The 23,592-nt window shown below is 40.5% G+C and overlaps 1 protein-coding gene across 4 annotated transcripts in view; it reads right to left on the reverse strand.

Annotated features, from left to right (window-relative positions):
- EFHC2 (EF-hand domain containing 2) overlaps positions 5,371-23,592 on the reverse strand; it is a 195,801-nt gene continuing 177,579 nt past the window's right edge. For 3 of the 4 annotated variants that reach the window (XM_047442535.1, NM_025184.4, XM_006724562.3), the window contains 2 exons: positions 21,421-21,526; positions 5,371-6,395 (listed from right to left, as the gene is read on the reverse strand). In XM_047442535.1, coding sequence (XP_047298491.1) covers positions 6,294-6,395; positions 21,421-21,526 — 208 coding nt within the window. In that variant the 3' untranslated portion in view covers positions 5,371-6,293. Of the gene's footprint in view, positions 6,396-21,420; positions 21,527-23,592 lie in introns of those variants that run through there. The other variant, XM_047442536.1, reaches the window with a different exon arrangement.

Below are 23,592 nucleotides of genomic sequence, written 5' to 3' on the forward strand. Positions count from 1 at the left end.
TTGCTGGGGAGGCCTTAGGAAACTTACAATCATGGTGTAAGGCAAAGGAGAAGCAGGCACCTTCTTCACATGGCGGCAGGACGGAGTGAGTGCAAGCAGGAGAAATGCCAGATCTCTTGAGAACTGATTCACTATCATGAGAACAGCATGGGGGAAACTGTCTCTCATGATCCAATTATCTCCACCTGGTCCTGTCCTTGACACGTGGGGATTATAGGGATTACAACTCAAGGTGAGATTTAGGTGGGGACACAGAACCAAACCATATCACCATGGCCTTTGTAAGCTGTCCTGGCACTGGTGGGAGTGTCTTCTAGCATGCTAATGCATTATAATTGGCATATAATGAGCAGTGGTGATGACCAGAGGTCACTTTCTTTTTTTATTATACTTTAAGCTCTAGGGTACATGTGCACAATGTGCAGGTTTGTTACATATGTACATATGTGCCATGTTGGTGTGCTGCACCCATTAACTCGTCATTTACATTAGGTGTATCTCCTAATGCTATCCCTCTCCCCTCCCCCCACCCCACGACGGGCCCCGGTGTGTGATGTTCCCCTTCCTGTGTCCAAGTGTTCTCATTGTTCAATTCCCACCTATAAGTGAGAACATGCAGTGTTTGGTTTCTTGTCCTTGCGACAGTTTGCTAAGCAGGATGGGACATGGATGAAGCTGGAAACCAGAGGTCACTTTCATCACCATCTTGGTTTTGGTGGATTTTGGCCAGCTTCTTTACCACATCCTGTTTTATCAGTAAGGTCTCTGTGACCTGTTTCTTCTGCTGACCTCCTATCTCATCCTGTGACTAAGAATGCCTAACCTCCTGGGAATGCAGCCCAATAGGTTTCGGCCTTATTTTGCCCAGCCCCTATTCAAGATGGAGTCGCTCTAGTTCAAATGTCTCTGACACTCCTAAGTCAGGCTTTCAGTTATTTACAGCTCATTAAGTTAGGACTCAAAGGAGGAAGGCAGCCTCAGGCCAAATTTAGTTTAATTTAACAATTTATTATCTTGATTGGGGTGATGTATCATGGGTATATACATATACCAACTCATCAAATTGTATACTTAAATATGTGCAGTTCACTGTTAAGTCAATAAAGCTGGTTTTTAGAAAGTTATTACTGTTAGTAATATGCCAGGCACTATGGTTCTCAGACAACATGCCTCCCCTGGGTAATCTTATCCGAACTCACAATTACCATCCATACTCTGATGATTCCCAAATATGCATCTCCAGCCCAGGCCATTCTGCTGAGATTCAGACCTGTTAATCCAGCTGCCTTAACATGGCCACTTATCAGTTCCGCAAGCACCCTAATTCAGCATGCCCAAGGCAGAATTTTTGATATTCTCCCTTCACTTGATTTTTCTCTCATGTATCCCAGCACAATGAAAGGCAACACCATCTATCCAGCTGTGAAAATGACCCAGTCATAATTTTGATTTCTTCTCCCTCATCTCCAACATCCCAAATGCATCGTGAATCCCTCCACTTCTCACCAACATTACATTAATCCAAACTACCCATCACTTCTCTGGCAACAGTCTCCTAATCAGTCTTCTTGCCGCCAAACACACTCTTAGAGTTCACACACACAAAGCAGCCAGAGATTTTTAAATACAGACATGATCTTTCCATTCCCCAGATTAAAATATTTCAGAAACTTCTCATTCCCTTGGGATGAAGTGCAAACTCTTCAACATGAGTCACACACAAGGTGGTCCCTATTTTTGTCCCGACTCCCCTCTAAAATGGTCATCTTTTGCCACTTCCCTTCTCACTCTCCTAGCTCCAGTCATAGTTAAAACTGGGGGTATTCGCAGGCGCCTGAAATGGCCGTTCAGCTCCTGTTCTTTATTCAACGGGTGGCCTCACAGCAATAATGACCAGTGGTAGCACAGGAGAAAAAAGCAGGCAAAAGTAATGTTATCAAGTTCCTATTTCAGTCAGAGGTTCTTGTTGTATAGGCAAAGTAGGAAAAAAGAAACACAAAGATGACTTTGGTGGAAGTATTTCTAAAGGAGAATGCATTTTTATGTTTTCACCAAGCTATCAGCTCCTCTGGATTTTAATATTATAGTGGGGTCATAACAAGCTTTCCTCTATTGTTGGCTTTACACAGATGCAAAGTGGTGCTCAGGAAGCTAGGAGACTGATGAATAGTGGGTTTGATGTATTTGAATCATTCAGCACTTTGAGTTAAATGTGCATATTCTGTTCAAAATAGACAATGGGGAGGGGCAGTCCCCCCTTTCCCTCTCTAACTTGCATAACATCAGGCCTCACTGCTTTAACTAATGAGTATTTAGAAGTAAAGGCTCCTACTGATTCCAGCGAGTCATTAATTCTCTGCTTGCAGAGCCACTGTGGAGTTTTTCATCGGCCACATTTTTTTAGCTTTTACCAAGTTGCTTCTGAGCAGCAGTGCTGACCCCGGGCTCCTGTGTGTACCACACACCAGACACATAATGGGCTTGAAAGTCCCCTTGCAAGGAATTTTACTGGGGACCAGGAACAAATTACAAAGAAGATGCATATTCTAGCCACTCTGTTGACAAAGATGTCTCAGAACTCTTAGTTTTAGGGAACTTAATTGACCTTGAATGAAAATGTATATTTAAACCAATATGTATAACCTGGTAGAATAAGCGGAGGAGGTGAGTTACAAAATTCTCTTAAACTAATTGCACAGTCAGCCCTACCCTTTGTAATAATGAATGTTTGCTCCATTATCGCTCCAGGTTTATTATTTTCTAAACAGCCTCATTGATCTTGCCTCAGTGGGCTTTCCATTTTTACACATTACATTCTCTTGGGAATTGAAAAGCACGGTGTCTCTGAAGATGCTCAGTCAACTTGAAAACACTCATTTTTGAAAAGGTCTTAACCTGCCTTCAACTTGAAGCAATTCAGACTTTGCCCAAACAAACATTAGAGCAGAGACACATCACTCGTGTATATGTTTCTACCATCACTGGGAAGCTGTTTGTCTGAAAGGTCATTTACAGACCGTTTTTTAGGGTATTGAAAATTCAGGGATCTATACTCATAACTAAAATGAATGTACATGTAATTGAGAGCATGGCACTTTATTATAATGGATTCTGCATTATTCAATATCATAAATATTTTGTGGAAGGCCCTATTTCGTTATGACTCCAACTACTAAACTTATAGCAAAATCATAATGTGTGGTGGAAGGGAAAGGAGAAAGAAGAAATAAATAGAAAAGGCTAGGAAGCAACCCCAACTCAAGATAAATTCCAGTTGGAAAGGCAAGAGTTTTGTGTTTTGTATTGATTTGAGATTTCATTTTACTCATCAATAATGCCCTATTTGAAAGAAGGAAGGGCAATTTAAATATTCTAAACTCATGACTGAGGGGTCCATAAAGCCTGGAAGCTCTATGACTCCAAATAATCAAACTTCAAATACTCTAGCGTTTAAAAAAAAAAAAATAACAAGAATAGTATATTTGTCAGTAATTGAACCAAAGGCAATACAGGAAATAAAGTAGGCAAAATGTTTAAACTATTATAATGCTTGAAAGTTACAAATCTCCCCTCTGTTGTCTAAAATTTTAACCATTTTAGTAAACTTAAGCTAAAGTAAACCAACAGACTTACCCACATTACTTTTCAAGTGGTTAGGTAAAAAAGGTAATAAAAGGCAAATAAGTACTGCAAATTAATCCTCTGCTGGCGACATCATACCTCACAACAGTGCCTCAGCAAACCACTTAATGTGAACTTCAACAGCTTTTAATCAGTTTTGTATGAAAAGACATGATTTGATTTGGGTTTTCAAATGGCTTTATCAATCATTCCCACAGTTCCAAGAATACTAAATAACAATTAGTTCTTAGGACAAAAGGTTTGCCTATATTAACCTTCAACTCACCCAGACATCCAAAGGTGGCACTTGCTTTTTCATCAAAATGAGATCATGTTAGCAGCTGAAAATATAAGTATATGGAAAGGTTGTGAAACTTCTTTCAAATTATTACCCTGGAACAATGACAATAGTTGGGATTTCTCTTTTGCAGAGGGAAGAGAAGAGGCAGAAATTCCAGTCCTCCTCCCCCCAAAATTTTAGTCTCGGGATTTATTTGTGCTGAAAGCCAGAGTTATCTACTGCTTGAAACCTAAGCAGAATGCATCAGCATTTCAGGACCACCTGGGACCAAGGGGGGCTGGGAGACTTCCAGATGGATTGTAAGACAATTCACTGATATTTACATAACGAGAATAAATGTTTTTCCTAAGATAGCATTTCCCTTCAGTGTCTTGAGACCACCAGCAAAAGAGGGAGGTACAGAAATTCTATTACATTAATAGTCTTTGTTTTTATGGCTTTGGCATTTATTAACTAGTGGGAGCTGTTTATTGGGTCATAAACTTTACTAATGGGGATATTATCTCTAAATTATAAATCTTGTCCAGTATATGGCTTAGTTATAAAAAGAATGATTATTTAAAGTGTCTGTATGGCTGCAACGTATCATGTTTATCGGCATGAATCCTATAATGGCCATTTCATTGCTAATTGTGGGCTTGAACCAGAAACAACCAGGGCAGTAACACACATCTATGCAATAGAATAAGCAGTTGTCACCCCACAACTCAGGAGCATTGTCATTGGTTTGCTTCCTTTCTTTTTCTCCCCCCACTTCTCAAATGAACTACATTATGAGCCTCTACAAGGGCTAAATTATCTACGTATTTAAACTCTTGAAGGAAAGACAACTGACTGAAGAGTTGAATAGGTAAGTGACGAATGTGTCAGCTTGAAAAGTTCCAGGAAAGTGTCATCCTTCTAAAAGCCTGCTCTCTGGGGAATGAAAAATCTTAAAGTGACAAAATGGCTTGGCACTGTCAGTTGCCTTAAAAAAAACCTGGGACAAAAATCAAGTAGTCAAATTTAGGATTTATGGTAGATAGTTTTAGTATATAAATTGAGTATACTAGTTTAGTGTTAAGTCCTGAAAGGGTTGGGAGGAGCGTCTATTCTAACAATAGCACATGTGGAATTATCCTAGGCTTACATATAGAAATCGTTTATTGATTAACTCCAATTTTTTAAAAATGAAAGGGCCATTGTTGTGGAGAATAAATTGGTACATTTGAGTGCCAAGAAGCCAGCAAGACACTGCTGCAAATGTGGAGTGAAAGAATAATGAGTCCGAAGGGTCCCTTGAGATGTCATCAGCTCTTCTTTTTCTCAGGGTAGTCCCTGAAAGGTAAATGGTGCAGCTCCTTTTTGAGACCTCCATTGTCTCCCAGAACACCAGGCAAATGGATTTATGATACATAGCATCCAACACTGAACAATGGCATAGACTGGGATAGACTTCTTACACTGAATTCCCAGAGGTACATGGCTATGGGTTTTAATCAAATGTACACTACATGACAAGAGTTCTGCTGAAGAAAAATAAAAATAGAACTAGAAAAATGCAGGGGAAAAATGTTGTAGTTTCTGAATATTTAAACCTCTAGGGTGGGGCGCGTGGGATGTGTGTGTAAAACAAACCAAAAAAAAAACAAAAATCTCAAAATCTTCAGCTTTCACATTTGTAAATATTTTAGACATAATAAAGTTTTGGTCAAACTATAATTATACACACATGCATATATTCCTAAGCTAACAAGCTGACTTTAGATAGAAAAAAGGGCATTACAAATATAAATACTGCATATGTTTCCAGTGTGTGTGCACGTGCGTGTGTGTGTGTGTGTGTGTGTGTGTTGGAGGTTCTTTTTCTTCCCATAGCTTTACTAAGTTCAAAAGATAAATATATTTACTCTAGAGAGGTTTAAGAATTATTTTGATGAGGTGGGTTGCTACAAAACTTAATTATGTAAGTAATAAACGTGTCAAAAAGGTTTCAAAAATGTTTAATAGAATCACAACTTATTGCTGTGATATAATTTGATTTTGTATTGTCATGTATAACCTTCAAAAGTCATTTTCTGTTCATATAGTAATGAATCAAATTATGTTGGATCAAAAATTATCAGAAGATTTTTTGGTATTAATAAACCATACATATAATAAAAATATTCAACATGTTTTAAGATGGCATTTTAAATAGTAACAGTACGTCGGCAATGTAACATGATGTTCTGTAAAACTAACATGACAAAATAGGATTAATTGTGGTTTATGGATTTCCATTTAATATAAACCTTGTTTCTTTTTTGTTTTTAATGAAATTATATCTACTAAAGTAAATGTGGCAAAATGAGAGAAGTAAATCATAGAGAATTGACCAAAACTGGCATGGTTATTCCTCCTCTAAGCCAAACGCGTCCTTCAAAAAGGTCCAGTAGTCAATGTATTTCGCAGGAATAGGTGATGGCATACCAAGCCAAACATCTTCACATCTCTAGAAAAAAACCAAAAATGGATATGATTAGAACCACATTTCAAAGTACAGTTTTGAAAATTCAACACCAGTTTATTTGCAAAGTGAAAATTTCTACCATCTACTTTAGGTTCATAAGGACTTTGTGGTCTACTGGATACTTGTTCTTGATTCTTCATTCCCTCCCTGTATAAGAATTATGTGCCCACACTCTTTGTCATATGACTCTGTAGAACCTCCTGTGGAGTAAGAAGGGTATATTTTCCTGTTCCTTTGATATGGGGTTGGCCACATGACTGGCTTTGACCTATGTACTATTAGCAGACATATCATGGACAGAGGCTCTAGCGTGCTGGCATCATTTGGCTTGGCCTTCTGTGCCTCTGCCATCACCATGAAAAGAACATGGCCCAGGATGCTGCTGTTCTTAGAATGACCAAGGTGGATCAGACCAGGCTGGACTTGCGGACTAAGAGCCAAGCTTAGCTGAATCCAGCCATGCTTCACTGACCTACATGCCCATAGACAAGAAAAAGAAATGTGTCTTGTTGTGAACCATTGAAATTTAAGGAGTTGTTATGCAGCATGAATACGCTGATAGATCCTCCTATACTTTCTTAAGAACCCAATTTTTATTTTTATTTTATTATTTTTTTTAAAGACAGGGTATCACTTTGTTGCCCAGGCTGGAGTACACTGGCACAATCTCTGCTCACTGCAACCTCCAACTCCCGGGTTCAAGTGATTCTCATGCCTCAGCCTCCCGAGTAGCTGGGATTACAGGCACATGCCACCATGCCCGGCTAATTTTTGTATTTCTAGGAGACGGGTTTCGCCATATAGGCCGGACTGGTCTGGTCTCAAACTCCCGGCTTCAAGTTATATGTCCACCTCAGCCTCCCAAAGTGCTGGAATTACAGACGTGAACTGCTGCCTAAAGAACCCAATTTTTAAAATACAAACTGGTATCTATACTGGCTGATTGGTTACTGTTTCTTCAGTAAACAATGAAAAGAACACTGGATCACTCACAGTATGATCTTGCAGATAAGCCACTTTATTTGTGTGTGTGTGTGTACACATATACACACACAGATGCACATTTTATATAATACATAAATACGTGTATATACACACACACAAACTTTTTGCATATGCCTCAATGGTTAATTAATATCAACAGGAGGCAAAGTTCATACATATGGTTGCTTATATTTCTACTTTCAAGGTTAAAATATGACTGTCAAGGTTAATTGTTGTATATAAGAGGTTCTATATCTTTACTAGTGTTACATTAGTATCCAGAATCACAAGGTGTCACAGAAACATAGGTAAAGGCTCAATAATTTGATGTGATGGAATTTTGGAAGCAAGCTGAATAAGTGGTGATTCAGTTGCACCTTATGGGATGAAAAACAGTTCAGCAGAGGGTTTAGGGTTGTGAAGGGTATTCCAGGCATAGGGACCAGCGTAAGCAAAGGCCTGGAGATCTAAAATCTATTTTCAAGAAAGGGTGAGTAGCCCAGTGTGGTTTGCGGCACATGGTGCAAAGTGGCAAGAGAGATGGTTAGAAGGAGAAGCTGGGGCCAAACTTCTGGCCTTCTGTGCTAGTTTATACTTGAGGCTGTGGTTAGGGGAAGTCACTGGTAGGTCTTGGCCAGGGAAATGACAGAAATCTGATTAGAAACTGATTAGCTAACTTGCTGGATGTACAGAGAATGACATGAAGTAAGAAAATCAATCTGGAGGTGAGTACTATAATACCGCAGAAAAATGACTGTGCCATAACCAGGGTGGCTGAAGCGGGCATGGAGGACAGGAGCTACTCTGAGAGATGCTGCTGCAGGAGAACATGAAATAGCTAGAAGGGGATCAACTTGAAATGGTGACAAAAGAAAGGTGTAGTGCTATGGGTTGAGTTGTGTCCTCATGCAAAAGAGTTATGTGAAGTCCTAATCCCTAGTACCTCAGAATGTGACCTTGTTTGGAAATAGGGTTTTTGCAGATGTAATTAGGTAAATTAAGATGAGCAAAATGAGATCATACCGGAGTAGGGTGGGCCCCTAATCCAATATGACTGGCCTCCCTATAAAAAGACAGCCAGGTAAAGACAGAGACACACAGGGGGAACACCAGGTGACCATAGAGGCAGAGATTAGAGGTTTGCAGCTGCAAACCAAGGAACGCCAAAGATTGCCAGAAAACCATCAAAGTCTAGGAAGAGGCAGGGAAGGATTCCCACACAGGTTTCAGAGAAAGTATGGCCCTGCTGACACCTAGATTTTGAACTGCTAGCCTCCAGAACTGTGGAAGAATAAATTTCTATTGTTTTAAGCAACTCAGTCTGTGGTACTTTGTGAGGGCATCACTAGGAAACTAATACAGGTAAGGATGGTTCTAAGAATTCTAAATTCAGTAATAGTTGACAGTGTCTGTTATTAGTTTCCTGGGGCTGCCGTAACAAAGTACCACAAAGTAAGTGGCTTAAAGCAACAGAAACTTATTCTTTCACAGTTCAGAAGGCCAGAAGTCCAAAACCAAGGTGTTGGCAGCGTTGGATCTTTCTGGAGGCTCTAAGGAAGAATTTATTCCATGCCTCTCTCCTGGCTTCTGGTGGTGGCTGGCAGTCATTCCTTGGCTTGTAAGCACATCACTCCAACGTCTGCCTCCAACTTCACATGGTGTTCTCTGTGTATACCAATATGTCTTCACGCAGCTTTCTTATAAAGTCACCAATCAATGCATTTAGGGTCCACTCTAATCCAGCATAACTTCATTTTAATTAATTATATCTGCAAAGATTATTTCCAAATAAGGTCACATTCTGAGGTTTAGGGTAGACATGAGTTTTGGAGGGGACAATATTCAATCCGGTGTTATATCATAAGGAAAGCAGGAAAAGTTGAAAAACATTTTTTAGTAGGAAAACAAGGCTCAGAGGGAAATTCTAAGTTCAACTGTGGGCATTTTTTCTTTCAGGTGTCCATGGGACATCAAGGTGAAGATTCTGGTAAACATCTGTAAATACGGTTCTATATAGCACAGAGCTAGAATCCAGAACTGTGCAAAGATATAGAAGTCACTGAAATATGAGTCATATATGAAATATAACATTGTCATAGAATCAGAAGAGAACTAAGTACCAGCATCTCTAATTCAGGTGTAAAACCTTAATTTCAGAGATGATTTATGATGATGATAAACTAGTTGCAGATTTGTGCAGGGTTATAGATAGGAATCTTGTAATTACCTAGTAGTAATAGGAATAACAATAAATTTATTGGATATTTACTACATGGCTGATACTCTTTTAAGTGTTTTACATGTATTAAGTTATTTAATCATCACAGAAACCCCTTACGAGATAAGTATTATGATGATAATCTATTTACAGAAAAAGAAACTGAGACACAGAAGGATTAAATAGATTGTCTCAAGTCAAACCTCCAGTCAGTGGAGAAGCCTGGATTATAATAACCTGGGCAGTGGAGCTGCGGAACTATGCTCGTCTGCGGGGCTACCCTCCAGAGCTGACAAGGATCTATTCAGAAGCAGCTGGCTTTCGTCCTACATAGCTACATTTGGTCCTCACACTTCCAACAAGAAAAGTTAAGTAGAAAACAAGGCAGTTCTTGAAGCGACACTACTCTTCTCTCTCAAGGATGCTGCCTCTCAGAAGTTGAGCCCAAACCACCAACTGGCAGTATGAAGAGGGAAATCACCATTCAGACGGCTGATGGCTAAACCCACTCCTAAGGGGTGTTTTGTGCAACTCATACCACATGGAACTTGGTAAAACAAAGTTGCTACTTTACTACTTACTACTTACACCAAAAAGTAGTAAACCATTACACACACACACACACACACACACACACACAAAACAATATATTTTAATCAATGAAGGCTAAGATCAATAGTCATTCAACTCCACTATTTAACATGTCCTCAAAAATTTCATTACAAAACTTACAGCAATATTTGCTCTTAAGTGATGTTTGTAAATTTAATCTCATTATAGAGAAACAGTACAAATATATGCCTTCAAAAATCACCATCCTCTAATAGGTCTTCCAAATAAAAGTTTTCAACACAGAAATAATGCATTATGTAACTCATATAAATATGATGAAATTATTCGGGGACTGGATCCTCTTATGAAACAGGTCAGGACTAGAAGATTCTGCCTCATGGCTTATGAGTCAGCAAAAGTGGTTTTGTTTTTGTATTTTTTGAGCAAGGAATTGTGATTTAAATGCTGACAATACAGAGAAAATAATAGAACTTAAAATGCAATCTTGACAACTCAAGAATCTGGAGATGAGATCAAATTTGTTAGCAACTTGGGCACAAGGAAACTCAAGTAAATATTCATGAGATTTGGAATTAAGGATAATTTAAGATGAAAAGATAACAGCAGTCCATTTCTTTAAATCCTGACCACTTTAAACCCCATGGCTCTCACAAAGCTCTCCTAACTATGCCGGCCCCATTGTGCTCTTTCTTTCGAATCAATACCACTTCCCTTGATTATTTTTCCTTTTGTCACTCTTCCTTAGGTTCCAGATGGGAATGACTTTCTGTCCAAATACTTCATAAATGCCACAAGCACATTAACAGTGCTGTGGGTCCATCTATTGCCAACCCCCAATTTCAGGGAGATTATCACACCTATTGGCTTACAATTGACTAATGGAATCAAATTTGGGACCAAAGGAAGGTTAGGAAACAGGGGAGGTTTCCAAGGCTCAGGGGATGGGGTGAGGGGCATCAATTAAGTAGAGGGAAAGGCACTTTCTTCATAATTTTGTCTATAATCGGATTTACTTAAGGAATCTCATGGCCAGCCCCTTGGTAAAATGAAGACATTTTTGGCAACATAAGAAATCCACATATTACCACTGCCTAATTGTACTTCCTAATAAATCTGCAAATGTTCCAAATATTATAGAATCTTTATGAAAATCTGGGCAGTGAGTTAAAATACTGTCTTCATTGACTTTTTATTAATCCTACACTATGCAATGCAAAGCAAACTCATATCATATGGCTTTCCCAGCAATGCATATCAATTTTAAGTGGGAATAACTGCGTGGTACTTTTACAACAGGAGGAGTCATCCACAGAAGTTGATCCCACCCATTCCAGGTGAGAACAAGCTTACTTGTGTCTCTGTAAAACAGATTCTCCTGGCAGTGCAGGTTTGGAATTTGGGATCTTAACTGTCTACGTGCAGCAGGCTCTGCCAGCACCCCTTCCTATCCCCTCATTCTTTCCACTCTGGAGCACACCAATCTGACTTCCAACTGCCAGCACCTGGGTTCCTTTGCCCTTGGGCTTCTCTTTGGCCTCTGAGGCTTGCTTTGGCTGTCCCTGTGGCAAGCCACAAGTGCCAGGGAATTGTTTCCTTTCCTCCACTTCAAGAGCAGCCCTCAAACAGTGACTGATGGGAGTTGATGGATGAATACCGCAGCTCCCTTGCACTTTGGGTGGGATGACTCTGAAGTGTCAGTGTTTCCCAGTTGCATTAAGCTCTAATCATTAGGTCAGGTGTGGGGACTCACACCTGCAATTCCACCATTTGGGGTGGCTGAGGTAGGAAATCACTTAAAGCCAGGACTTCTGAACCAGCCTGGTCAACATAGTGAGACCCTGTCTCTACAAAAGAAAAAAAAAAAAGTAGCGGGGTGTGGTGGTGTGGGCCTGTAGTCCCAGCTGCTTGGGAGGCTGAGGTAGGAGGATTGCTTGAGCCCAGGGTTTCAAGGCTGCAGTGAGCCATGATCGCACCACTACACTCCACCCTGGGTGACAGAGTGAGACCCTGTCCCAAAACAAAACAAAACAAAACAAAACTCTTAATCGTCTACATCATCTACATTTGTAACTGGTTTGCTAATATGCCTTTAGTAGCTCCTTCCCTTTCCTTTCTCACTCTCCCACTTCCTTACTAGTGTTTTCACTCCTCCCCCAAAAATGATTTACACTTAAATCTTTGTCTCCAAGTCTGCTTCTAGAGGAAGTCAGATGTAGATTCTATGCAATTTTGCATTTATCAAAATTAAGAATATGTTTAAGAAAGCCACAGCACAGCTTGAAACAAAGCAACTTCCTGGCAAACTGGATGGATCCAGAGTCTCCAAGTCACTTCCAGATAACTCAAAAGACAGCACCCAAATCTCAGAAGAAAACTTGATGTAATCTGGAGCATAAACAATACATGCCACATAGTGTTTTCTGGAAGAAGGAAGAACTATGAAATGCAGAGTGAAATTCAATGATACAAAAATCATGATTCTAAAATGTCTGGGAATCATTGTCTCCAAGAAGGCCCTATGACATCTTCCAAGCTGGCTGTCACTCGAGGCACTTAAGATGTCAAACCAGTTGGCAATAAATTACTCGTTCATCAGTGGTGAAAAAATGTAGCTGCCGATCTGTAAAATCGCACACCCTTGAAATGGGAAGCAAAGATGGCACTGGATGAAAACCCAGTAAACAGCAGCTGCCCAGTGAGAACAGCAAAGCTGTGTGTGAGCTAATGGGCCCTAGATTTATTTGCTTTGACATTTTTAAAAGGAAATTTAATTGGATTATGTCTCCTTCTAGTTTAAAATTTTCTGCTGTAATACTGGCCACCAGATGCATGAGGGGAAAAGATCGGGAGCCAATTAAATTCCATGCTTCACTGAAATAAGGTTATTTTTATTCCTCCCAAATGCAAGGCAGATAGAGTCATGTTGGTGATTTCACCATGTTACTCCCCTCTATTCACTAGGAAAAGGATGTTTCTATGAGAAATATCTATACATTTATGGAAAAGGCCAGTGGTGTGTATAGTATTAAAATTGTGTTTTTCTCAGATTTTCTCCCTTCAAATAAAGTTAACATGGCTTTGGAAATAATCTAATTAGTTTGACAAAATCATAAAAGCAATTAAATTTTAAGCAAATCAAATTGAAATAAATTTGGGGAAGAGGATTTTGCGAATATTTCTTGAGATAATCAAGAGCGTTCTGATAACATAAGGAAAAGCTCATATATAAAACCAGAAGATTAGCTTATATTTCTATACATTTCTGACTTTACAGCAATGCCAATATTTCATGATTGTCTCCCCTTTCCCTAGACAAAGCTTCAACAGAGTTGTCATCTATGTGTGAGTTGTAGCTAAAAGACAGGCGTAGTTTCTAAACAAAACCTTTCCTTGGAAGTGCAATGCAGGGCAAGTAAAGTTTTCAGGGAGATGTGGATTTTTGAGCTTCAGTGATAGGCTTATGTGTACAATTCAAGTGGACATAACCCGATGCTATAGATGAAAGTGGATTCCAGGAGTATCATTTCCTACTAGGTTATTGCTCTGTGTTAGGTCACCAGTATGTGTTTGCCAGTTATTTTTTAAGTCTAAGAGGAATGGTTAACAACCTTTTATTTCGACTGTTATATTCAACCACAAATATTAGAAATAACTTTACTTATTTAAAAAATTGGCACCAGCCCCTGACTATACAATCCTTACCATTAGGAATATCTCCGAGCCTCAGCTTCCTGTCTATAAATTGGGGATAATACTTATTCTTGCAAGATTGTTGGGACAACAAAATGTCACAGGTTATTCCATGCTCTAAATACCAAAAGGAGAGTCTCAACAAGGCGGGTGTCCAAAGATGTTTCCCAAGGTGTACCCAACTGCCCCCTACTTCCTGATGCCAAGGCCGTATATCATCCTATTGTGAAAGAGAGTGCTTTAGAGCTGACTGCTAATGCTTCTGCAGTTACGATGTTCATAAAATGAAGCCACATCCAATTTTTCTCAGAAATGTCAAAAGATAAGACGCCAGTCACACAGTGTAAGTTATAAAGTTTATATGAGAACCGATTTAGTGTTATTTTTTAAAACGTGACTTCTGAGATTAACCAGACAGGCTCTAAACAGTGGGACCTATTCTGCCAGTTTTACAGCTACCATCTGTGAGCAAACACAATAGAATGGAAATGGGGTCTCCAGGCCATGACAGTGCCAGGGCAACATGCTGAGACCATAGATAGTCACATAATGGAGTGAGAGTTAAATTACAGCCCCATGGCTCACCATGGGCTGCTGATGGGCCAGGCAGAGGGATAACCAAGGGAGTCCAATGAGAATCCAGGCTACAGGCCATTGGCTACAGGCCATAGCCGACAGTCATGATGGATGATGGCTTACATCCAACCATGTAGGAAAAACCTGTCACCAAAGGACAGTAGGACTAATCAAAGCTAGACTAGCTATACTATAGTACTCTTTAAATTCTCCTTGTTTGTTGTTGACCCCTATTCTTACTAGCTGAGGCCACCTAACTAGCACATGTAGGGGAGCCACCTCTGAGTCCAGGAAACTGGTCCTCAAATCCAGCAGACCAAGCCCCAGAAGCAGTTAGTGTAGACCTAGCTTTTATCCTGGCTGTGGGGCTTGTTCTGAGCTCAAGGCTTTATTCTGGTAACAAATAGATTGTGCTGGGTCAGTCTCCATTTGCCCCTCAAGATCCATTCTTTGCCCTTTTCACTCTGCTTTCTGCCCTGGGAGACTGACTCTGTGGATTGCATCACTCCTCAAGCTTCCTTGCTCTCTGGCTTCTGGGTGGGTTCAGCCAATGTGAAGCAGCATCAGGAGATCAGAAAACAGGAGAAGCAAGAGGTCAGAGTATGGATTTCACTTCCCTTCATCCTGTTCCCTCCCTGCCAGGCCATGGTTTGGGAGTGGCTATAGTGGCTACACTACTCTACCTGCTGCTATAGTTCCAGCTCCTCTGCTGGGCTCCAATAACACCAGTCCCCCAGTCCCTCCCTGCTTCTCCCGTTATTGCCAGTCCCTGAGTGCTCCACCCCCCTCCCCGCCCCGCTTGGTTCCCTTAACCCTACCCACCCCGTCAACAGTCCCTTTATCAAATCCATCTCCAGGATCCCTTTGAGTATGCTGTGTATTTCCAGCTATAACCTCACGGGTATAGGGGCTTAGCCAGCTCTGTCCCCTTGGCAGGGTGAAAGCTTGGTCTGAGCCTGCTGAGTGGCTCCCTCTGATTGCCGAATGGTGCTAACTTCAAGATTCCCCATCACTATGCTCACTGTTTTGGAGGGATGCCCTGCTAGAACTCCCTTCCAATCTCAAGTCTTGTGGACCAGACCACACCCCTACTCAGCCTGTGGTTGGCTGAAGCCTGTGGTCTTGTTCCTGGTTTCTGACCTCTCCCTTCTCACCCCATGATGGTTAGTCACACTAGACTGGGAAGGTGTCCCAAATTTCCACCCATAACATCCATCCTATCCATTCACGCTGATGCAGACAGAATTAGAGTTGAATCTAGTACTGAAGCCTACTCAGCTTTCATCAGCCAATAAGTTTTTTTTATTTCTAAGGAAGATTCCCAGTGCAGAAATGAGATCCTGCTGATGACAATATGCAGCCCAGGAGTAAAAATATCCACGTTCCAGGTGGTGGCCTGTCCTGGTAACTTCTACAGAGCTCTTCATAACACCTCTGAAACTTTAACCCAAGCCAGCCTGTCCGGCTCATATACTGGAGGAAGGGTGCAGCTTCCCAACCCTGGGGCCTCCATCTAAGCTTTGCTTCCACACGGGAGCTCAGCCTGCCATTCCTTCTTCTCAAAAGACCTCTGGTCTCATCACTTCACACTCAGGGCTGGGGTGCCTTCACAACCTGATGGATCTTACCCTGAAGCCCTACATGTGACTGGCTGGCTATGGAAGACTCCCCAAACGTTGGCAATCCCCAAAGTCATAACTGGGAGGTTTTCTCTGCCCAGTTGCACCCCCGGGACCTACACATCTGGTCTGACTCCACCATGGCCTCTTATGGCATAACCACTCTCCTCTCAGTTCCCTACCATGAATAGAAGATCAGGAAATAACCAAGGAACAAGCTGGGGAGGAGGCTGTCACACTGCTAGGCTCTCAGTTGATACCAAGAACAGTCAACAGGGGCTTCAAGAGTAGTTGGTTGCCAAGCTGTGATATACTACCCAGAATCCCCTTGAGGAGGGATTTGGTGGCCCAGCTGCTGGGAGTCCCCTTCCTGGATTTCCTGAGCTACAAACATGTCTTGGCTACAAAGAGCCACGCTGCACAAAGTCATATCTCTTCTTGAACCAACCCACCAGGACAAAGGCCAGGCCATTCTGGCCCAACTCAGGACAACGCTGAAAAGACATGCTAACTCCAGAGCTCCCTATGGGTTGGCCAAGGATATCTTTGGGCTTCCATCACAGTTCGACTTCTCCCTCTGCCCATTCTTCTTTTTTTCCCCCACCTTCCATGGGAGTTGATCCCAAGGACACTCCCAAAAAAACATCCTGCACATTAGACTCCATCTGCTTCCTGGAGAACCCCACCTGTGACAAACTCTGACCCAGCAGTGTTTCAGGGCATTATTCAACATTATTAATAACATTTGAGCACACTTACATGGGTCAGTAGATATTATACTTTTTGCTCCTGTATTCTACTGTATAAACTATTCAACATTGTGCTCAACCCCTTCATGCTAAATATTTTCACATGAGATTACAGACTCACTGGTAACATTCCCAAGGTATTTTATGTCTTCTTTATGAAATAATAACAAGCTTATCAGTACCAGAGTGCTTCGAACTCTTTGGAATCTAGTTAAATTCTCATTATTGGTGAAATTGATCAGGTACCATTTTATATCTATTTTCTTTTCTTTTTAATTGGCTGAAAAAGAATAGTCCTTTCTGAATGCCTCCTGCAGACTGAAATATTTCTAGGCTTTATCAGCAGAAATGATGAGGCCCTATGAGTAAATTTCTCACCGTAAATGAATCGCAATTAGAAGAACCTAGTGCTGAAGCACAGCTGTTTCTGATGTGACATTCCTGGCCTAGAACCATTCTCTTGCCATTAAAGAATAGAATCTCCCATCTTAACCTTGGCAGGGACTGCCCAGCCCCCTGACTTGAGGAAAGTAAGACATCTCAATTTTACAGAAAATAATAGCATCTAACACTTAAGCCCTTACTATGGGAGAGGTATTGTGGTAAGTGACTTGTGTATATTGACTTCCTTAATCCTCACAACCCTAATGGAAGAACTATTCTTATCACCATTTTTGAGATGGGAAAACCTGAAAGGTTGAGTGCTTTGTAAAAAGTCACCCAGTTAGTTGATCGTAGAGCTAAGGATTTGAACTAGGGTCCCTGTGATTGGAGACCTTCTGTTCCACATTGCCTCTCAAAAGCATCTGAGGTCCACAGCTCGATACCTGTCCCAGTTGACAGAGTTGAAGTGATGAAACTGGGGAGGGGTGATTAAAGGCAGAGTGGATCTTTGGCCTTCCCATGCAGTGACTTCTCTTCTAGTGTGGATGGTGATCTTTTTGTGGGTCATGAAATCAATTTAATGGGTCACGAACAACATTCAAAAGAGAGGAGAAAAAGAGGTGGTGGGGAATGAGAAAAAGGAAAAGAAAAGAAAGGAAGAGAGAAATGAAAAAAGAAAATGTATCATACTGCACCACATGTAGTCAGAACAATATTAATCCGTGAAATTTTTGTTCCATTATATATCTGCATACTGTGTTGTTATGAAAAAAAATCTTTCTTACTGTAGGTTGTAGTACAAAAAGATGACAGGATCTCATTCAAACTCAATAGTCATCAGGAAAATAAAAATTAAAGTAGTAAAATATGTTTTCAGAGGCAAAATATGTAAAAACAACCTGAATGCCTGTCAATAAAGAGCAGATTAATAGGGCCAGGCACGGTGGCTCATGCCCGTACTCCCAGCACTTTGGGAGGCCGAGGCAGGCGGATCACAAAGTCAGGAGTTCAAGACCAGCGTGGCCAACATGGTGAAAACCTGTCTCTATTAAAAATACAAAAAAATTAGTCAGGCATGGTGGCGTGTGCCTATAGTCCCAGCTACTCAGGAAGCTGAGGCAGGAGAATCACTTGAACCTGGGAGATGGAGTTTGCAGTGAGCCGAGATCACACCACTGCACACCAGCTTGGGCAACAGAGTGAGACTTCGTCTCAAAAAAAAAAAAGAGATTAATAAATTATTATATATTCATACCACAGCTATTAAGAATGGCTTAGGTCTATACATATTAAACTAGGGAAATTTTCCACGATTAAGAAAGAAGAGCACACTCCAGATAAATGCATGTGGTATGATCTTATTTTCATACAATACATGAGGAAATGATAAAACCCCCAACACAGAGGTAAACATTTGGGTGGTGGATTGAGTGGAATGGAAGAGGAAAGAGAGAAGTAGAAAGTAAGGAAAACAATGACAAAGGCTTATAGCAAAAATAGGTATGTCCTGTATATTATTCAGGGGCTCATGGGAAATGGCAGACATATACAAACTGTGGAAATCGAGAAGAGTTTAATAAAGTGACTAGTTACAAAGTTGTGGGAAGTGTTTAGAAAAACCAATAGGGGCTAGTCCCCTGGGTTTATAACAGCAGGGAGCCATTACTACCACCTGAGGCTGAAGGGGCACATGAGGGTGGTTACCAGCGCCTGGAGTGACCAGCCATATGCAAAGAGCCTCTAGACAAGTGCTGTGGACTTTGGAAGGAGGAGGCCGTCAATCTGCTGTGACTGGCAGGGAGGAAGAAGATTTCTCTCTCCTTTCACCCTCTACTCTCCTGCTGGTGCATCCCACTGGTCAACCCAACTGGAGGCCTAGGGGACCCACTGATGTGCCTACAAAGGTCAGCTGCCAAGGACTGGCCTGGGCAGGGTCAGAGCACGGTAGAGGGCTCTGGAGAGCAGTGCTAAAGGGACACAGGGACACAGTCAATATAGACTACTAGAACATTCAACAAAAAGGTAGAAGAATGTAAATCCCATCTACCATGTTTCTATTTGTATGTAAAAATTAAATATTCACATGGATGAGAATGAAAGGGTTATCAGGGCAAATGACAGTATTGATTTGTTTTTGTGATAGTGTTTCAGATTTGGGTTAATCCAATCCATTGTCTTCAAAAATAATTATATTTAAAGGACAGTTTTCTTTTGTATTCTTTGCAGCAAGAGACCTGAGTTAAAATTCTGACTCTGCCTTACATTGCTGTTTCCCTAACTTCCTCATCTCTAAACTGGGAATAATAAATGCACCTATGATTGCTAAGAGGATTAAATAAGCTAGGTGATTTTGAGATCTTAGAACAGTAGTTGGCACACAGTAAATGCTTTGTTTGCTGTTATGTATGGGGACAACAGGACAAGAGCCTCCATGGCCAGGCGTGGTGGCTCGTGTCTGTAATCCCAGCACTTTGGGAGGTCAAGGCAGGCAGATCACTTGAGGCCGGGAGTTCGAGACCAGCCTGGCCAACATGGTGAAACCTTGTCTCTACTAACAATACAAAAATTAGCTGGATGTGGTGGCACACACCTGTAATCCCAGCTATTCGGGAGGCTGAGGCAGGAGAATCGCTTGAACCTGGGAGGTGGAGGTTGTGGTGAGCTGAGATCATATCACTGCACTCCAGCCTGGGCGACAGAGTGAGACTCCATCTCCAGTCTACCCACCATCCAGCCAAAGCAAGTTCCCTGTAAAGGGCACTCTTGATCATGTTGCTGTCTTCCTTGAAGTTAGTCAGTGGTCTCCAGACCTCGCAGGACAATATTCAAATGTCACCCTTACAGGTATCTCCAGCTTCATCCTTTTCACCTCTTCCCCATGTGCCTTCGCTCTGGCCACACCAATTCCTCCTGGTTCTGTACAAGTGCCATGCTGTCCCATGTCCAGAGAATTCTGTTGGAAATGCCTTTTCCAGACCATGTCACTTTCCTACCTTGCTAACTCTTACTACTCATCATTGAAATTTCAAATGTCACCTCCCCTGAAAATACTTCCTGTTCCCCCCCAGTCTGTTTAGAAGCAGCTACCACCTCATCCCATAGAATCCCATGCAGGCTGTATCATGCCACACTCCAAATCACGAACGTACCAATTCCCCCATCAGTAGTGGGCCCCTCAAAGGTAGCAGTGACAATGTTTGTCTCTGGACCCCAGCCTACAGCAGAGAACCTGATGAGAGTCAATACTTAATCCTGATTTATCTGGGGATTACATTCATAAATCAACAAGATAAGTAACTTAACTGACCCAAAGTCATTCAGCTAAGTAGGTGGCAGGGCCAAAATTCAAACCCAGCTCTGTCTGACTCCAAAGGCTACTACTTTCCCCCAACCATCTGGAAGTTCTATGGCTGCCCTTGGAGTAGCTGCATGCCTGAGGGAACTCCCAGAGGCACTAGACCAGCTCCAGCCAGAATGAGCTGGTCAGCAGAGACCAGGAGAAATAAATGCCTCCTTTCTGGGAGTATCAACCACATGACATTTGCTTTATCAAGGGACTTTCCCAAGAAAATCAATTTCTGGAGCATGTTAAAATACAAACAAACCACCACCCACCCACCCACTTCTTAAAGACAATTAGTCCAAAGAGATCTTAGAGAATTCAGACAATTCCACAATGTTGAGAGCACCATCTGATCATGTGAACTTTGTTTTCCCTAACCAAGCATTTTTCTACAGAATTTTGATTTTAAATTTGGTTTCACTGTGAAATGTGCATCCCCATTCTCTATTGTTTCACCCATGGCAAACCTGTGTGCACAGCCGCGGATACCCGGATACCCTAGGGATTCTTGCCATAGGCACCATTTGAGATTTGCTCTTGTGGCTTATGATGATGTTACCAGAATCCCTTGATAACAGTGTTTATATCTATTTATAACTGTAACCTATTATCCTATTTTCCATATAATTGGATGCGATCGAGGTTAAAAAAAATTCAGCTGCATAAGAAAAGTCATGCTTTTACAGAGCAGATGTTTGCTCAGCATGGAAAGTAAATTAACCTTTAACACAAATGCCCAGAAACACATAAGCACTCTTTCCAAAAGCACTGATGTTAATATTTTATAATGAAAAATAATTTAAAGATAAAGGATATTAAACATGCAAGGGAAGTAACCATAGATGGTTTTTAAAATAGGTATTCATTTTACCTCTTTAAGGTATGATGCTGGTTGCAATTCAGGCACTGGATTCTTTCTCCAGTTCAGGGCAGAGAAAAATGACTTATAATCTATTTGTTTTTCACTGTCTTCAAACCTGAAAATATAATTATAATATATAATTTGACTCAATCTGCAGAATTCAAGACCAAAATGTCAGTTTCAATTTTATCATGAAAACATAATACCATATATGCTTCAATATCTGATAGTTTTCTTATTTCTTACAATTTCTTATTGCTTCTGACCCTCCAGAATGTAAATTCTTTGAGCGGGGATCTTGCCTATCTAATTCATCAAAATATCCCCAACAAGATCAGTGCTGGCACTTAGTAGGTGTTCAATAAATACTTGTTGTAGTTGCCACAGACGCAAATTTGCTCATTCAGTAATGAAGACTATAGTGAAATTTTGTTAAAAAGATTTAAAGGTCCTTTTAGTTTAATGGTTGATATTACATGTCAGCAAAATAGAATGTCCTTATATTTCTTCAATTGCATACCTTTTAAATCTTTAAGGCAAGCTAGATTCATTTTTCTACCAGTATATGTTTTGAAAAAATAAAAGGCATCTTTATCATTTATTATGTAGCCATTAAAAGGGGTTATTTAGATCCAAATTTGCTATCGTATAAATATGTTCTTGATACACGGTTAAGTAGAAAGGAGGCTGTAAAACAGTATGTAGAGTTACAATCCCACTTTAGGTTTATATATTAAAAAACAGAAAAAATATGGTAGCAATAGACTTACATATTAAGAATAGATATCTCTGGGAAGAGAGATTCTGATTTTTGATTTTTCTTTAGACTTTTGTGTATCATCTGAATTGTTTTAAGTTTATAATCAGAAAAACTTCAGCTCATTTTCATTTTGAACAAAAATTAACAAATGATTATTCTGTACCAGAAAAATATAGGTCAAAATAATGAATCTCTTTGACCACTATTTCCTAATTATGGATATTAGATAAAATTCTTCCTTAACCATAATAGAGATTTGGCCATGAAGATACAGTAATTTCAACACAATTGCTACAATGACCTAAACACAAAATTACTTAGTGTAATGCCTCAATGCCACCTATCCTAAATTTGATCACATTCTGCCAGTTTTTAAGGCTAATTATCATGTAACACCAGTTTTTGAAGGAAAATACAAAGTGGTCACTAGACATTGTTCCAGGCACCCTATTCCAGGATCCTGCCCTTAAAATATACTCCTAATCAGTCCAAAGATTTTTCTCTTTTCTTCTCAAAGTACTAAAAAATTAATAGCTTATATTTATAAACTAATAAAAATTAGCAGCAATAAATTAAATGTTACAAGCTGAAGTCACATAGCCTCATCAATCTAGACAAAATGGAATAAACAAAGTGACCAGAAGAGGGGAAAGGGGAATTCTGTAATTCTTTTGTGTACATTTTCTTTGGCCAAGGATTCTAAGATACAATTCCAATATGCTGCCCCCTACCCACTGTTTACCACCCTTTAAATTATGGCTCACTAGTCATTTCAACTCCTTTAAAGGACATACTCTGTTTATGGAAATATTTATAGCCAAAATGTAGGACCATTATTTCTTTTATTTGTGTATGTTTTGGGGGAAGAATGAAAACTCAATTAAAGATGTCTCATAATAAACTTTTTTTTAGCACAGAGCCTTGAAAGAAAGTATTTCCTAATATCCTGAGTAGGAGCTAAGGTCAAAGAATGAGATCATGTAGGACCTTTGGCTTTTATGCTGAGGAAAACTAAGAGTCACTAGGGCATATTATACAGAAAGGTTATGAGACCTTCAATGTTCTGAATGTTTGTGTCCCCTCAAAATTCATATATTGAGGCCTCATCAATGTGATGATATTAGGAGTTGGGGCTTTAGGAAAGGTGATTAGATAGTGAGGGCTCTGCCCTCATGATGACATTAGTGCCCTTATATTAATTAAAGAGACCCCAGAGAGCACTCTTGCCCCTTCTGCCATGTAATCCTGTAAGGATTCAGAGAGAAGGCATCATCTGTGAGCCAGGAAGTGGGCCCTCAGCAGACCCAAATCTGTTGTCATCTTGGTCTTGGACATCCCAGCCATGAGAACTCTGAGCAATGAATTTCTGTTGTTTATAAGCCACCTAGTTTACGGTATTGTTATAGCAATCTGAACAGACT

The sequence above is a fragment of the Homo sapiens genome, chromosome X (genome assembly GCF_000001405.40).
Source record: "Homo sapiens chromosome X, GRCh38.p14 Primary Assembly".
In the NCBI taxonomy this organism is placed as follows: domain Eukaryota; kingdom Metazoa; phylum Chordata; class Mammalia; order Primates; family Hominidae; genus Homo; species Homo sapiens.